This window comes from Homo sapiens, chromosome 3 (assembly GCF_000001405.40).
Source record: "Homo sapiens chromosome 3, GRCh38.p14 Primary Assembly".
Lineage (NCBI taxonomy): Eukaryota > Metazoa > Chordata > Mammalia > Primates > Hominidae > Homo > Homo sapiens.
The window spans coordinates 154,345,632-154,363,480 of record NC_000003.12 but is presented as its reverse complement, the minus strand read 5'-3'; the positions used below and the strand labels follow the sequence as shown (position 1 = coordinate 154,363,480).

At 36.2% G+C, this 17,849-nt stretch overlaps 1 protein-coding gene and 1 pseudogene across 1 annotated transcript in view; both read left to right on the top strand.

Moving 5' to 3' along the window:
- GPR149 (G protein-coupled receptor 149) overlaps nt 1–17,849 on the top strand; it is a 95,248-nt gene that overhangs the window by 66,710 nt on the left and 10,689 nt on the right. The window lies entirely within an intron of this gene.
- Nucleotides 8,615–11,565, top strand: DDX50P2 (DEAD-box helicase 50 pseudogene 2; annotated as a pseudogene).

The following is a 17,849-nucleotide window of genomic DNA, read 5'->3' as shown; positions in this document are numbered from 1 at the left end:
CAGTGTTTGTCCCTCTGGAGGCTGCAGCAATGGGACAGCATCTTAGAAGCAGAGAGCACCCCTCACCAAACACTAATGCTGGAACCTTGATCTTGAACTTCCTAGCCTCCAGAACCAGGAGGCCAATTATTCAAGACTGAATAATTTGTAAATTATTCAGTTTGTAGTATTTTGTTATAGCAGCAAAAGTGTACTGAGACAACCCTCTGATCTACACATCACAGCCCGGAATAAATTTGCAAAAATATAATTTTTCTCCTGTCAATTTTATGCTTAGAACACTTTGGTAGTTCCTTTCGCCTTAAGGACAAGGTTAAAACTCCTTAATGTGGCTTCAGTGATTGGTTCCTGTGGTTTCATCTCCCCTCAACCTCCCCTTGAACTATTTGCTTCAGTTTCTAACCTATTAATTTTATTTCCTTGAATATGCCATGCTCTTTCTTTCTACAAGACCTTTGCACCCTCTACCCAGATTCTTCTTAGAGGAGTCTTCAAAGATTATCTGCTAATGTGCATTTTCAAGTGATCTCATGTGTAATCATTTTCCAATGGAATACCTCTAAATAGCCCTGATATTTCTGCACTGAATCCTTAATATTGATCATTGACACATGGATGGATCCAGGTTATATAGGACTTGAATAGTGTTTGTTTGGGAAAAACAACTGTAAGAAAAAGTATGCAAATCATGAATACAAAATTAGATACAAAAATGAATATTTATTTATAATAAAAAAATATAATAATAAGTGTATTGGTGCCTTGGAGATTCAGACACACATTGTCTGAGATCTCTTTAGGCCATTTCCCAGATACACTTACAAAGAATGCATTCTGATTGCAACCTGGCTTCCACTCTTCACTCAGGGCACTGCCACTTTCAACAATAATCAGCACTCAGAGTGGCCCATGCATGTGATTAGCTGTGGAACTTAAGCTTCATTAGCTTCATGATAAATGTTTCTTCCCCCTGAAGTTTTGATATTTTTAATAGTTTTTAAGTGTTTCAGCTAACAAAAATGCTTATTGGCTTCTTTAGTTGTAATTCTGACTAAAACTTGGGAAACAGGAGAATATGGAAATCTAGCAAGATATTTCTCCATGTCTTTTTTGGGGTGACAGTAAATTAACCAAGAAAGTGTTTGCTCCATGTGACATCACAGCTCTGTCATTTTTTTTTTTTTTTTTTTTTGAGACGGAGTCTTGCTCTGTCGCCCAGGCTGGAGTGCAGTGGCATGATCTCGGCTCACTGCAGGCTCCGCCTCCCGGGTTCACACCATTCTCCTGCCTCAGCCTCTGGAGTAGCTGGGACTACAGATGCCCGCCACCACGCCCGGCTAATTTTTTGTATTTTTAGTAGAGACGGGGTTTCACCATGTTAGCCAGGATGGTCTCGATCTCCTGACCTCATGATCCACCTGTCTTTTTTAGGATATTCTAAGTCAGTAGTTCTCAGATCTGGCTATATATGAAAATAATCTGGAGAACTCTTCACAAATATAAATTTTGGCTTCCAATTCTAAACTACTAAATTAAAATTTCTCAAAGTAGAGACTATAAATGTATCTTTTTAATAAGCTCTGCTTGTATTTGTATGTGGTCAGTTCAGCACCAATCTAAGACTGGCATTTGTAAACAACATGTCTAAAGAATAAAGATTAGAGGTCTGGACCCTGGAAGAACAAATAGGTTCAATCAGTGCATTTAATGTTCCTCGAATACTTTTATAATAAAGGGAATTATTGGTTCTAAGAAGGTGGATACCCAGATTCCTAGACTTCCACATTAGGATGGCCAATTTATTCTGAAACCCTAACAAGTTTTGATAGAGAAAAGAAAAAAAGCACCCCGTACTGGTCCAAAATTTTTGAAAACAAAAGCTTTGGAGCATCACAAATTTTCACCCTGTAAAATTAAAATATACATTAGTGCATATGATTGTCCTATCCACTATATAAATAATGAATGTGAATTAAAACCAAAACTGAGAAAAAATTTAAATGCAAATATCTTAGTAATTCCATCAATTGAAAAAGCACTATCAATCAGGTTACAAAGAAACATCTAGATTTTATTAGGACACGTACTTTTATGTATTCCTGATGTTGTTGTTAAAATGTGTATGCTATTCTCTCCCCAGGAATAAGAAGACTAGTTGAATATGCCATTTTCACTTTCACAGAACTCATTTCCCCTGAAGGCAAGTGTCTAATTTCTGAAAAGTGTGCATATGAGTGATGTTCTATGTATAACTTCATCATTAGCATTCTTTTTATTTGAGATTCAATAATACCACTAGAATTTTCAGTTAATTTTTTATAAAGAATCTTTGTAATAATGTATTTTAAAAAGAATTGCTTTAGTATCTGCTGTGTGGGATGGGAAGATTTTGGAGACTTTGTCTTCTAAATCAATTTTAGAAAAGAATTTTCCGTATACTATATTCTGTTGCTATGTAGGTAGTGGGAAGAAAGAATACTTAAAAGTGGAAGAAAGAACAGAGCAGTCTTTTCATACTCCTTTAAGACTTGAAATTTTACTTTGTATTTTCTTCAAAAGAGAAATTAGTTGTGTTCAGTTTTGTCTTAAGAATAATTACTTTATTGTTTTTAATAAAAATAGCTTATGCTCATTATTTGTAAAATTCAAGCAGTACAGAAAACTACCAAGAAGAGAGAGGCATCTAACCTAAAATTATACTACCTAGAAATTACTATAGGTCTCTATGCACATATGCAGAGAGAATAATGAATGGATGTTTGGATGGACAGATGGATAATCATTTTGTATCTCCGATCCCTGGAGTAGTATCTGCCTCATATTAAGTACTCAATAAAAATATAGTGAATGAATAAATTGAATTGTACTATCTATTTTTTTCTAGTGCCATACTGCCCAGATTGGAATTCCAGTTCTACCACTTATTGGCTGTTTGACCTTGAAAAACATACTTAACATCTGTGCATCTCAATGTTCTCATCTGTAAAATGGGGATAATCGTAATACACACCTTCATCAAGGACATTCTTAAGTGAAATTGTTGGTTTATTTTTTACTCTATATGTGCAGTGATTAGATATACAGTGGCTACCAAGAAAATGTGTTGCCACAGCCTTGATTCTTGTTAAACTGCCAGCAGTTTTACCCACCATTGCTTTAGTACCTTCAGTAAAAATGTTACCATGGTGAAAATGATAAATAAAACCTTAGTATAGTCATTAAAATAGCTTGGGCCATACAGACCCCCTGAAACTGTTTGTAAGATGGGTTTTGACCACAGATCCCCTGAAACTGCTTGCAGCCCTCATTTTGAGAATCATTACTTTAAACCATCTCTTACCAAAATGGAATTCATTCATAGCCAGAATTCTCAGATTTTTTCAAATCGTCTTCTTTCTGGGCAACTGCTTACAGAAGTGGATGAATCTTTTGTTTCTGTTTGGTGGCCAGCACTCTTAGAAGTTTTGCATGAGACTGGACACTTTCCTTGTTTGGTTGCTCCTGGTGAATCTGTGACTGTTGTCTTTCTTCATCTTACTGGATGAGAGAGATTCTGTGATTGGACTACCTTCCACCACCTTCATCCATAAATGTTTTTGGGTTTTTTAATTAATTAAAATCATCATATTTTTCTTCATTATTTTAGTTAGGTTTTCTCTTCCATTGATTAGGAATTTGTATCTATTAAGGTTTAGTCCAAGGAGCAAAAACACTATGGGTGTTATGGGATAAGATACTTCGTTTAGAATTGTGGAGAAAGCTGGAGAAGAAGAGGACTTGAAGAGAAGTTTGAGGATCAGAGACAGAGTTACCACTCAGTCAGCTTGAGAAACCAAGTATGTCTAGCCAGCAAAGTAGGACCACAAAGGGGAAATTTGTGGAGAGGTCTATGAAAAGCTGTTGCCTCTGAATAACCACGACCTCTGTGGGCCCATAGCCAAGCATCTGGGGTGGATTGGAGGCTCTGTTGGTCAACAATACCAGTAGTCAAGAAAAGCTAGATGTGGAGCAGAAGTGAGTGATGACAAGCTGGCCCCTCTCTGGTACCCTTTCTTCTGTCTGTCTCTGATTCTGCCTATGAGAAGATTTTTCAAATGGTTATGGCCATTGCTTTTTCCACCTTCCAAATAGCATGTAACTTCCTTTCTTGGCCAACTTCAATCTGCAGGGATACAAGTAAGAGACATATGGAAAATGTAATTAATTCCCAGCTTAGCTTCACTGACAAGAATACAAACTACCAGAGTATAATGCCATATGTTATGTTTTTAAGGCATAAATATTAAACTTATCAAATTATTTTCTAGATAAGAAGTATCACAGAATTTTCTAAAGAATGTCCCTTATTTTGCACAAAAAAAAACTGAGAAGAAAATTCCATTGATTTAAATAATGCATACTACCCGTATAGGCTCTATGGAGTTAAACGATTTTTTTCACAAGGGTTAAAATTATTAAAGTTATAGTGATATAGAAGTCATCCTTAATTTTCTATGACCTAAGGCACTTCTTGGTGCATGTTCTTTAGATATATTTCAATAGCAAAATGAAGCAGTAATGTATTATTTCTATCACCAGAAAAGAGTTAACTATACATTATATATACAAACACCCATGCACAAATACATAAGACATGCACATCCCTGTATATGACCATATCTACAGGATCTTACATGGTCTCTTACCTGTATTCGAGCTTAATAAGTGTTTCCTATTGAAAGAGGGTATAAATTAGAAGTGTATAAGCATCATTAAATCATCCTTACAGGTTTCTTTCTAGTTCATAAAGGTCTATGAAACTCATAAACATGGGTTTATAATCTGCTTTCTTTTCATTCTTGTTGTATCTTCCCACCTCAGACATTTTCATTGTAGGCTGCGTAGTGGCTTTGATTTCATATATTTTGGAAGGATAAAAATATTCCTTCAACAACAATGCTTTATTGATAAATAAAGTTTCTTTTCAAGTATCTTGGATCTGTAATTTCTTTGGGGAAGTTTTTAAAGGTTTGGTGATTTTAATTTTTTTTAGAAGAGCTTTTATACTTAGATATTTTTCAAGGAAAAAAAGTGATTTCATTGAGGCTACTTTGCCAAAATAGCCATAGAATGTTGGAATAGGAAGACATAAGAGATACTTTGGGGTTTATTTAGCCCAACTTCTTTCTTTTATTTTTATTTTTATTTCTTCTTATACTTTAAGTTTTAGGGTACATGTGCACAATGCGCAGGTTAGTTACATATGTATACATGTGACATGTTGGTGTGCTGCACCCATTAACTCGTCATTTAACATTAGGTATATATCCTAATGCTATCCCTCCCCACACCCCCCACCCCACAACAGGCCCCAGTGTGTGATGTTCCCCTTCCTGTGTCCATGTGTTCTCATTGTTCCATTCCCACCTATGAGTGAGAACATGCAGTGTTTGGTTTTTTGTCCTTGCGATAGTTTGCTGAGAATGATGGTTTCCAGCTTCATACATGTCCCTACAAAGGACATGAACTCATCATTTTTTATGGCTGCATAGTATTCCATGGTGTATATGTGCCACATTTTCTTAATCCAGTCTATCACTGTTGAACATTTGGGTTGGATCCAAGTCTTTGCTATTGTGAAAAGTGCCGCAATAAACATACGTGTGCATGTGTCTTTATAGCAGCATGATTTATAATCCTTTGGGTGTATACCCAGTAATGGGATGGCTGGGTCAAATGGTATTTCTAGTTCTAGATGCCTGAGCCATTGCCACACTGACTTCCACAATGGTCGAACTAGTTTACAGTCCCACCAACAGTGTAAAAGTGTTCCTATTTCTCCACATCCTCTCTAGCACCTGTTGTTTCCTGACTTTTTAATGATCGCCATTCTAACTGGTGTGAGATGGTATCTCATTGTGGTTTTGATTTTCATTTCTCTGATGGCCAGTGATGGTGAGCATTTTTTCATGTGTCCTTTGGCTGTGTCTTTTTGATGGGGTTGGTTGTTTTTTTCTTGTAAATTTGTTTGAGTTCATTGTAGATTCTGGATATTAGCCCTTTGTCAGATGAGTAGGTTGCGAAAATTTTCTCCCATTTTGTAGGTTGCCTGTTCACTCTGATGGTAGTTTCTTTTGCTGTGCAGAAGCTCTTTAGTTTAATTAGATCCCATTTGTCAATTTTGGCTTTTGTTGCCATTGGTTTTGGTGTTTTAGACATGAAGTCCTTGCCCATGCCTATGTCCTGAATGGTATTGCCTAGGTTTTCTTCTAGGGTTTTTATGGTTTCAGGTCTAACATTTAAGTCTTTAATCCATCTTGAATTAATTTTTGTATAAGGTGTAAGGAAGGGATCCAGTTTCAGCTTTCTACATAGGGCTAGCCAGTTTTCCCAGCACTATTTATTAAATAGGGAATCCTTTCCCCATTTCTTGTTTTTGTCAGATTTGTCAAAGATCAGATGGCTGTAAATATGTGGCATTATTTCTGAGGGCTCTGTTCTGTTCCATTGGTCTATATCTCTGTTTTGATACCAGTACCATGCTGTTTTGGTTACTGTAGGCTTGTAGTATAGTTTGAAGTCAGGTAGTGTGATGCCTCCAGCTTTGTTCTTTTGTCTTAGGATTGACTTGGCGATGCGGGCCCTTTTTTGGTTCCATATGAACTTTAAAGTAGTTTTTTCCAATTCTGTGAAGAAAGTCATTGGTAGCTTGATGGGGATGGCATTGAATCTATAAATTACCTTGGGCAGTATGGCCATTTTCACAATATTGATTCTTCCTACCCATGAGCATGGAATGTTCTTCCATTTGTTTGTATCCTCTTTTATTTCATTGAGCAGTGGTTTGTAGTTCTCCTTGAAAAGGTCCTTCACATCCCTTGTAAGTTGGATTCCTAGGTATCTTATTCTCTTTGAAGCAATTGTGAATGGGAGTTCACTCATGATTTGGCTCTCTGTTTGTCTGTTATTGGTGTACAAGAATGCTTGTGATTTTTGCACATTGATTTTGTATCCTGAGACTTTGCTGAAGTTGCTTATCAGCTTAAGAAGATTTTGGGCTGAGACGATGGGGATTTCTAGATATACAATCATGTCATCTGCAAACAGGGACAATTTGACTTCCTCTTTTCCTGATTGAATACCCTTTATTTCCTTCTCCTGCCTGATTGCCCTGGCCAGAACTTCCACATTCAAATTCAGTGACTCACAGTTGAACTGTGAGTCAATTAAACCTCTTATCTTCATAAATTATCCAGTCTCAGGTATGTCTTCATAGCAGCGTGAAAATGGACTAACATAGCCCATAAGTCATCCACTTCAAGTGAGCAAGTGAATGATTTCTAGTAAGTTTACCAAGTTGTACAAACATCACCATAAATCAGTTTTAGAACATTTCATCACACCAGGAAGGTCCCAAGTGCTCATTTACTCTTATTCCCTGTCACTAGCCTCCTCTACCCTAGGACACTGCCTACTCTATTTGCCTCTTTAAATTTGCTTTTTAGTTTGATGCTCTTTGTATCCCAATATGATGTTTGACGAAAGTATTCTTGTCTTCCATACTTACATGAATATCATCAATGTAAACTTTAACACCTTTTCTGGAGTATAGCAACCTTACAAAAACATTGTATTTATCCTTTGAAACTGTCTTACGAATGAAAATATATCATTTCTGACCTAATTCTGGTGAATTAGGTATGAGAAATTTTTTTCTTGCAAACATTTTTTGTAGGATATTCCTAACATCCAATTGAATGAGTGCTTATCATTAGGATATAAAAAATTATTTCATTTCTTAGGATTCATTTATTCCTGATGAAATTTTATTTTCTTGTTAAATTACAATCAGTGTATGCTTTCTTTCAAGCTAGTTTATCCTCTTTTATTTTGTTAGAAAAACAGAAATAAAGGATAAAATATGGAAATAAATTTGGATACATATCATATCTGATTTGAAATGCCATTCTAAGAGATAAAACTAGAGGTTTCGTTTCTATTAGAACAGAGAATGAAAAACCCTGTCTAATAATCCCAAGAGAAACAACACACTTAAATCCAAAATTCCCTAAGGATTTATTGCAGTCTGTGATGATTGTACACACGGATTCACACAGGGCTAAAAAGTATGAATTGAAAATATGAGAATACAAATTTCCATAATAAGAAATGAAGTGGCCGGGCGTGGTGGCTCACACCTATAATCCCAGCACTTTGGGAGGCCAAGGTGGGTGGATCACGAGGTCAGGAGTTTGAGAACAGCCTGATCAGCATGGTGAAACCCCATCTCTATTAAAAATACCAAAATTAGCTGGGCCTGGTGGCACGGACCTGTAATCCCAGCTACACAGGAGGCTGAGGCAGGACAACCGCTTGAACCCAGGAGGCAGAGGTTGCAGTGAGCCAACATCGCGCCACTGCACTCCAGCCTGGGTGACAGAGTAAGACTCCAACTCTAAATAAATAAATAAATATAGTAACTTAAGTATCAAGATATATTCATTTCAGAAGCTTACGTTTTGGCCATAAAATCAATGTAAAATGAGGTTTCATGCAGAAACTTGATCATTTTTCATCAGAATGATTCATCATTTTCAATATCAGTGTGATTTGAGTAAAGCATTAGGCCCAGCTTCCTTCCATGCTGTCACTGCCCACAGGTAGTTGTGGCCACTGTGCGTGGAGGGAGGTGGTGGCCAGTAATGCCTGGGAAACTCCTTGGGGCGACATTATGGAGCTGAAAACACCCTTGGAGGAGTCCGAGAGCCAGAAGAAGGACAGGCAAAAGGTATTTATTGAACCTAATTTGTACTATACTCTTTGCTGAGCACCGAGGGGCTTAAACTAAGAAATGGTCCCTGCCCTCAAGGAGCCTGTAGAGGAGTTGTAGAGTCTTTCCTCCTCCCACCCGCCTGCCCTCCAAAAAAAAAAGGAAAAGGAAAAAAAAATCCTGAAACACTCAGAGGATCACAGGGTGCTGGAAAATGCACAGGTAAAATTTTTACTGGAAACATTTGACCTGCAAAAAAGAAATCAGCTGAAGAGGCTAAGGTGGCAGTATTTGAAGGCTGACATTCAACAAAAGAATGAGACTTATTTTGTATAGCCTTAGAAAGCAGAATCTACCCCCTGACCTTATCACTAAGAGCTCTATCGATATTGCAATTTCAGATAAGGGATTATAGACCTGTACTTCCCTTATAGGGTTGTTATGAAGATTTAAACAAGATAAGCTGAAAACACATTACACAGTGCTGGAGTGACAGAAGGAAGTCAAGGCACCATTATGACCCAGATGAGAAATCAAAAACAAGAGAAAATGTTGTTATAGATGACCTGGATGCTTCCAAGGCCAAAAAAAACTAAAATGAAAGAGAAGCTAAATGGAGACACTGAAGAAGGATTTGTAGACTTTCAGATAAATTCTCTAAATCTCATAGGAAGAAAAGATCTACCAAATGGAAATATTGATGAATATGAAAAAAAAAATCAAAGCAAGTATCATCCTTAGATAGTTCTACTCATAAATCAAGTGATAATAAACTAGAGGAGACCTTAACATGTGAACAGAAAGAAAGAGCTTTCTCCTATTTCCGTATTTCTGAAGAGACTGTAAAGCTTCTGAAACATCAAAGGGTAACATATCTCTTTCCTATTCAAGTTAGGACCTTGTCCTGTATTTGAAAGAAAAGATTTAATAGCTCGAGCATGGACAGGAACAGGAAAGACATTCTTTTTTGCCATCCCCTTGATTGAAAGACTCCAAAGAAATCAAGAAACAATTTTTAAAAAGCTGCTCAACAAAGGTACTTGTTTTGGCTCCAGCAAGGGAACTGGCAAACCAAGTAGCCAAAGACTTCAAAGATAAAACTAGGAAACTCAGCATGGTGTGTTTTTATGGTGCAATACCATATCAAAGCCAAATTAATCATATGCAAAATGGTATTGACATCTTGGTTGGAACCCCTGGTCATATCAAAGATCATCTGCAGAGTGGCTGATTGGATCTTTCTAAACTGTGCCATGTTGTGCTTGATGAAGTGGATCAAACGTTAGATTTAGATTTTAATGAACAAGTTGAAGATGTGATTCACAAATCCTACAAAACTGAATCTGAAGACCATCCTCAGACTTTACTTTTTTCTGCAACTTGCCCACAGTGGGTATACAAAGTTGCAAATAAATACATGAAATCCAGATATGAACAGGTTGACCTTATTGGATAAATGACTCAAAAGGCTGCAACTACTGTGGAACACTTGGCCATTCAGTGTCATTGGTCTCAGAGGCCAGCAGTTATTGGAGATGTCCTTCAAGTCTACAGTGGGTCTGAAGGGAGGGCTATTATTTTCTGTGAGACCAGGAAGAATGTAACTGAAATGGCCATGAATCCACACATAAAACAGAATGCCCAGTGTTTACATGGGGATATTGCACAGTCACAAAGAGAAATTACACTAAAAGGCTTCAGAGAAGATAGTTTTAAAGTTTTGGTGGCAACCAATGTGGCTGCCCATAGTTTGCACATTCCTGAAGTAGACCTGGTGATTCAACATTCTCCTCCTCAGGATGTTGAGGCCCGTATCCATCGCTCTGGATGCACAGGTAGAGCTGGACAGGGATTTGTATATGTTTTTATCAACCAAGAGAAAGAGGTCAACTAAGATATGTGGAACAAAAAGCAAGAATTACTTTTAAATGTGTAGGTGTTCCTTCTACAATGGATTTAGTTAAATCTAAAAGCATGGATACCATCAGGTTTCTGACTTCCGTTTCTTATGCTGCTGTTGATTTTTTCTGACCATCAGCTCAGAGACTGATAGAAGAGAAAGGGGCAGTGGATGCATTGGCTGCAACTTTAGCCCACATTTCTGGTGCATCAAGTTTTGAACCACAGTCTTTGATCGCCTCTGATGACCATGACTCTGGAAAGCCTAGAGGAAATACAGGATGTCACCTGTGCCTGGAAAGAACTTAATAGAAAGCTAAGTAGTAATACAGCGTCTCAGATTACCAGTGTGTGCCTCCTGAAAGGAAATATGGGTGTTTGCTTTGATGTTCCTACAACTGAATCAGAAAGGTTACAGGCAGTGTGGCACGATTCCAACTGGATACTCTCAGTGCCAGCCAAATTACCTGAAATTGAAGAATATTATGATGGAAACAAGTCTTCTAATCCCCAACGGAGGAATGGCTGGTCAAGTGGCTGGTCAGGCGGGTCAGGCCAGTCAGGTGGTCCATCTGGTGGCCTATCAGGTAGACAGAGTCGACAAGGGAGTCACTCAGGAAGTCGACAAGATGGTAGAAGATGAAGTGGGAATAGAACTCGATCAAGAAGTGGGGGCCACAAATGGAGTTTTGACTGAATATTTGATACTTAATCTACCAGTGTGAACTTGCCTATTTGTGCCTAATTATGTATATTATCCACCAAAAATTAGCTCATGATAGTTGAGGTATGTGTCTGCTATTTGCACAGAAGTTGGTCGTATTTTTTTTAAAAAGTGTTTCACAAGAATAGCTATAAACAAATCTACCTATTCAGTTATACCTTTGAATTAAAAAACCTCCTTTTATTATCTTTTTAGAAAAAATGAGAATATTAGATAATTAAAGACATTTGAAAAGATAACATTTTGTTCTTCATTTTATACAGCTATAAAATTGGATTTTGAGGGGTTTCTATTATTCCTTCCACTGAAATTATCTCCTCTACTTCTCTTAATTGTGAACCCTATAAAATAACAAAATTTATTTGTCCATTAAATTATTTATCCCTGTAATTTTAGGACTGTAAGGAGCCAAACAGATTGTCTGTCTTTTGCTATTCAAAGTATGGTTCCTACACCAGCAGCTTCAGCATCATCTGAAAACTTTTAGTAAGTGCAGAATCTCAGGTTCAACAATAGACTCCCTGAATCAAAATTTGCATTTGCACAAAACAAGTTTTTAATTTAATGAAGTCCAGTTTATCAAATATCCTTTTATGGATCATGATTTTTGTGTCAAGTCTAATAACCCCTTCCTAGCCTTAGATCTCAAAGATTTTCTCCTATATCTTTCAAATAAAATTTTTAGTTTTACATTTTACATTTAAGTTTACAATTCATTTTGAGTTAATTTTTGAATAAACTATGAAACAGATGTAGCTGGTTATTTTTTTTTTTTTTTTTTTTTTTTTTTTTTTTGTATGTGGATGTCTAATTGCCCTAGCACTGTTAATTGAAAAGGCTAACTTTCCTCCATTGAATTGTTTTTGTACCTTTGTAAAAAGTCAGTTGGGTATATTTGAGTGAGTCTACATTTGGATTTTCTATTCTGTTCCATTTTTCTGTGTCTCTATCCCTCTAGCAACAACTCAATTTTGATTATTATAGCTATATTGAAATTAGATATCCTGATTCCTCCCATTATACAGTCAACTCTCTGTATCTGTGGGTTCCTATATGTGAATTCAGCCAACTTTGGATCAAAAATATTCAGATACAAAATTATGCCTGTACTAAACACATACAGACATTTTTCTTGTCAGTATTCCCTAAACAATATAGTAAACAGCTATTGACATAGCATTTACATGATATTAGGTATTATAAGTAATCTAGAGATGATTTTAAAGTATATGCGAGGAGGTGCACAGATTATATACACATACTATGCCATTTTATATAAGGGACTTAAGCATCTGAAGATTTTGCTATCCACAGGAGGTCCTGGAACCAATCCCCCACAGATACCAAAGATCAACTGTATTTATTTTTTCAAAATAATTTTAGCTATTCTGGTTCATGTACCTTTTCATTTTAATTTTAGAATGATCTTGTCTATAACTGTGAAAATATCTTGCTGGGATTTTTGTAGGAATTATATTAAATGTATAGATCAATTTCTACAGAATTGATATCTTTACTGTCAAGTCTTCCAGTCTATGAACACAATATGTCTCTTCATTTATTCAGATTGTCAACTTTTTAAAGTGTCATGTAGTTTCCAGTATATTAGTCCTATACATGTTTCATAAGATTTACATCTAAATCTTTAACCTTTTTAGCAATTGTAAATGGTACTGCATTTTTTATTTTGATGTCCAAGAGTTCATTGCTAGTCATAGAAGTACAAATGATTTTGTACATGTATCTTATATCCTGTGACCTTGCTTAGCTCAATCATTAGCTTGAGGATTTTTTGTCGATTCCTTGGGATTTTCTACATAAATCAATCATGTCATCTGCAAGTTGCAAAAGTTTCATTTCTTCCTTTCTGGTCTGTACAATTTTTGTTTCCTTTTCTTTTCTTTTTTATTTTTGAGACAGGGTTTCACTCTGTCACTGAGGCTGGGTGCAGTGGCATGATTATGGCTCACTGTAGCCTCAAATCCCCAGGCTCAAGTGATCCTCTCACCTCAGCCTCCTCAGTAGCTGGGATTACAGGCACACACCACCATGCCTAGCTAAATTTTTTTATTTTTTGTACAGATAGAGGTGGAGGCTACAGTGAGCTGTGAGCATAGCACTGCACTCAGCCTTGGTGACAGTGCAAAACCCTATCTCAAATAAGTAAAGAAATAAATATTGATGCAGCCTTGAATTTCTGAAAGAAACCCTGCTTGATCATTGTACATAATTCTTTTTATAGATTGCTGAATTCTATTTGCTAATATTTGTTAAGGATGCTTGCATCTATATTCATGAGTGATACTAATCTATAGTTTTATTTTTTTGTAGTGTCTGTAGAGTTTGATTATTAGGGTAAAACTAGGTTTATAAAATGAATCAAGAAGTATTCCTTTGTCTTGTATTTTCTGTAAGAGATTGTGCAGAATTTATATTAATCCTTACTTAACTATTTGCTAGAGTTCTCCAGAGAAAACATAAGGCTGAAGAGATTTCTTTTTGAAGGTTTTAAACTACAAGTTTAATTATCTTAATAGTTACAGGGCTATTCAAATTACCTATTTCGCATTTGGCACATTGTAGTAGTTTGTTTTACAAGGGATCAATCTATTTCATGTAAGTTGTCAAATTTGAATGTGTAAAGGTGTTTGTAGTACTCCCTTATGGTACTTTCGATGGCTGCAGACTCTGCAGTGATATCCTGTTTCATTCCTAATACTGGTAATCTGTGTCTTCTCTTTGTCACTGCTGCTAGAGGCTTTTCAATTTTATTGATCTGTTAAAAAAATAACTTTTTGTTTCATTAATTTCCTCTTTGTTTTTCTGTTTTCAATGTCATTGATATCAGCTTTTATCTATTTTCCTCCTTTATATTTGCTTTCAGTTTATTTTGCTCTTCTTTTTCCAGATTATCAAGGTGGGAGGCTAGACTATTGGTTTAAGACTATTACTCTTTTCTAATGTATGCATTTAGTGCTTTAAATTTCTCTCTCAGATCTTCCCTAGCACCAATTTCAATATGTTGTATTTTCATTTTCATTCACTTTTTTTTTTATTTCCCTCAAGACTACCTTTTTAACTCTTAGATGATTTAGAAGTGTTTAGTTTCCAAGGGCTTGGAGATTCTCTTGCTATCTTTCTGCTATTTATTTCTACCTTATTTCTGTTGTGGTCAGAGAACATACTGTTTAATTGTGTTTCCTTTAAATTCCCTAGGGTTTGTCTTATGGCTTAGATAGGGTCTATCTCAGTATATGGTTCATGGGCACTTGAAAATAATGTGTATTCTGTTGTTGTTGGATGGAGTGTCCTATAAATAAAAATTTTCTATCTATAACATTTTCTACAAATGTTGATTAGATCTTATTGATTAATGATGCTCTTCTACACTCTTGTTGATTTTCTTTCTAGTTATCCTATGGATTGTTGCGAGAGAGGGGTTGAAGTCTCCAACAGTATTTGTAAATTTGACTATTTCTCCTTTCAGTTCTATCAGTTTGGCTTTATATATTTAACAGTTCTGTTGCTTGCTCTATACATATTTAGGATTGCTATGTCTTCTAAGTGGATGGATCACTTTATTATTATATAGTAATTTTCCCTGTCTCTGATAACTTTCTTTTGTCTGAAATCTATTTTATGTGATATCACTATAGCCACTCTTGTTTTCCCTTTGATTGATGTTTGCATGATATATCTTCTTTTTTTACTTTCGACCTGCTTATATTATTATATTTGAAATGAGTTTCTTATAGACAATATATAACTGAGTTGTGTTTTTAATCCATTCTGCCAATGTCTGGCTTTTAATTGGTTTATTTAGACTACAAGAATAAACTACTGCAGAGGAATCTGCTGTCTAATTCAGAGATAAAGATTGTAGAAATCAAGTTTTATTATCTACCTCTTCCTAGTCTCAACTACTGGCACTAGACACTAGGATTAGAAAGCTTAAAAACATCTTGGATTCCTCTCTCTTACTCAGCTTCCAATAATAACTAACATTTATGGAGCACTTACTATGTATGAGGCACTCCCCTAATCATTTCACACGCATTAACTCATTTAATCTTTATATTTTGCAAGTGAGACAACTGAGGCTTACAGAAGTAAGGATTATAGAGATAGTGACTCAGGTGTATGCGACTCCACAGCAGTACTTCACCACTACCCTCCACAGCCTCAATAGTTTTGCCTTTGCAATACTTCAATAGTCCATCCCACGTTTGCCATTTTTGCTACCTACTGAAGTTCAGATCTTGTTTTTTCTTTCCACGTATGATTTTAAAAACCTTCTATTGGTGCTCCCTTCCACCACACTCTCCTTTCTCCAATTCATCTTAGATCCTCAGTGGCATCATGGAAAGGATTTGGAATGTGAGCTGAATTTAGATCACAGTTAAAACTTTACCTTCCTATATTACCTGGGCAAGTTAGTTAATGTCTTCACATATAAATTTGTTTGTCTGTAAAATGTAAATAATTTTACCACCCGTGTGATTATATTATATATTTCGCATGTAGTAGATTTCACATGTAATATGGTTTGGCGGTGTCCCCACCTAAATCTCATCTTGAATTGTAGTTCCCATAATCCCCACACATCATGGGAGGAACCCGGTGTGAGGTAATTGAATCATGGGGGCAGTTACCCCCATGCTGCTGTTCTCATCATAGTGAGTGGATTCTCATGAGATCTGATGATTTTATAAGGGGCTTTTCCCCCTTTTGCTCAGCACTTCTTGCTGCCACTATGTGACGAGGGATGTGCTTGTGTCCTCTTCCGTCATGATTCTAAGTTTCCTGAGGCCTCCCCAGCCATGCTGAACTGTGAGTCAATTAAATCTCTTTCTTTTATAAATTACCTAGCCTCGTGTGTGTCTTTATTAGCAGCATGGGAACCAGCTAATACAACATGTAAAATGCCAAGTGCAATGCCAGCATATAGTACACACTTCATATATATTCATTACCTTCCCTTATTACCTCCCTATGACTCAATTATATCATCTATGAGTTCAGGATAATTACTATCTCTATTTTATAAGGTTGTTGTGAATATTAAATAAGAAAGTGCATAGACAGTGCTTAGGAAGAAGGTTGATACAAGGCTCTTATTCAGCAGGATCAGTAAATATTTTGGGGGATGGATATCAATCCTAAAAATCTGTTACTCAGTTGTTAGAGTTTTCATCATTAAAAACAACAAGCTGGCCAGATGCTGTGGCTCATGCCTTTAATCCTAGCACTGTGGGAGGCCAAGGCGAGCAGATTACCTGAGGTCAGGAGCTCAAGACCAGCCTGGCCAACATGACAAAACCCTTTATCTACTAAAAATACAAAAATTTAGCCAGGCATGGTGGGGCACACCTGTAACACTAGCTACTCGGGAGGCTGAGGCATGAGAATCACTTGAAAGAGGCAGAGATTGCAGTGAGCCAAGATTGTGCCACTCACTCCAGCCTGGGTGACAGAGTGACATTCCATCTCAAAAAAAAAAAAGAAAAAGAAAAGAAAAGAAAAACCTTAATTTGTAGCTTGAAGGCCTTTGAGGATTAAATGTGAAATGTGTTAAAATTCTTAGCACTTTTCATGCCTCTTACAGACCCTTGATGAAGGCCCTCATTTTCTTGCCCTTGTTCTCTCTTTCCTTGAGGAATTCTTGTGTTTTCTCTAATTTGTGTTCATCAAACATTTAAATGAAAATGACAGAATGACACAAGGTATATTCTGCGAGTTGAATATGTGAAAACAGTAACGACATAGTTTTGCATATTGAATAAAAAATAAATTCCAAAAAGTAAATTATTAAAAATCTACTTTTGTTTTTCTCACAAAGTTCTTGTTCTTAGTGCTATTTTTTCCCTCTCAATGTCCTTATCTCTACTAACCATCTTAAATGGTCGTGTTCCACTTAAATTCCTCAATGTCTGTACTTTAAGAGGCCTAAAGTCACCTAAATTACCTAACGATCATCTATATGAGTTTAATTGGGATTAAAATTGTCAGTCATTTGGGTTACTCATGAGTTAGTGACAGAATTCTACCTTCTAGGGCAGAAAACCAACAACTGACTCTTAGCTAGAGCAGATTTCTTTTAAAATAACAACATGATACAAATAATAGAAAGAGCACTTAACTGAGAGTTAAGAAACCTGAGTCCTGATGCCAGTCCTGATACTACCTATGTGACCCTGGGCAAGTGTTTGACCTCTCTGGCTATGAGTTCTTTTTTCATAAAATAAGAAATTAAAATGCCATGGTTTCTGATAAGTGCCATGATCCTAGATGCTATATAATGTCTTTCTAAAATTGAATGATTCAGATTATCAACAGACTACTTCACCTTCTTAGGAGAAAATTTTGCTGCAACTCTTTTTATATTATAATTTCACCCTGGATTCACCTGGAGGCTCGTAGTGAAGAAATCAAAACATTCAATGTGCCGAAGGTCAGTAACTCTGAATCAATTATCAC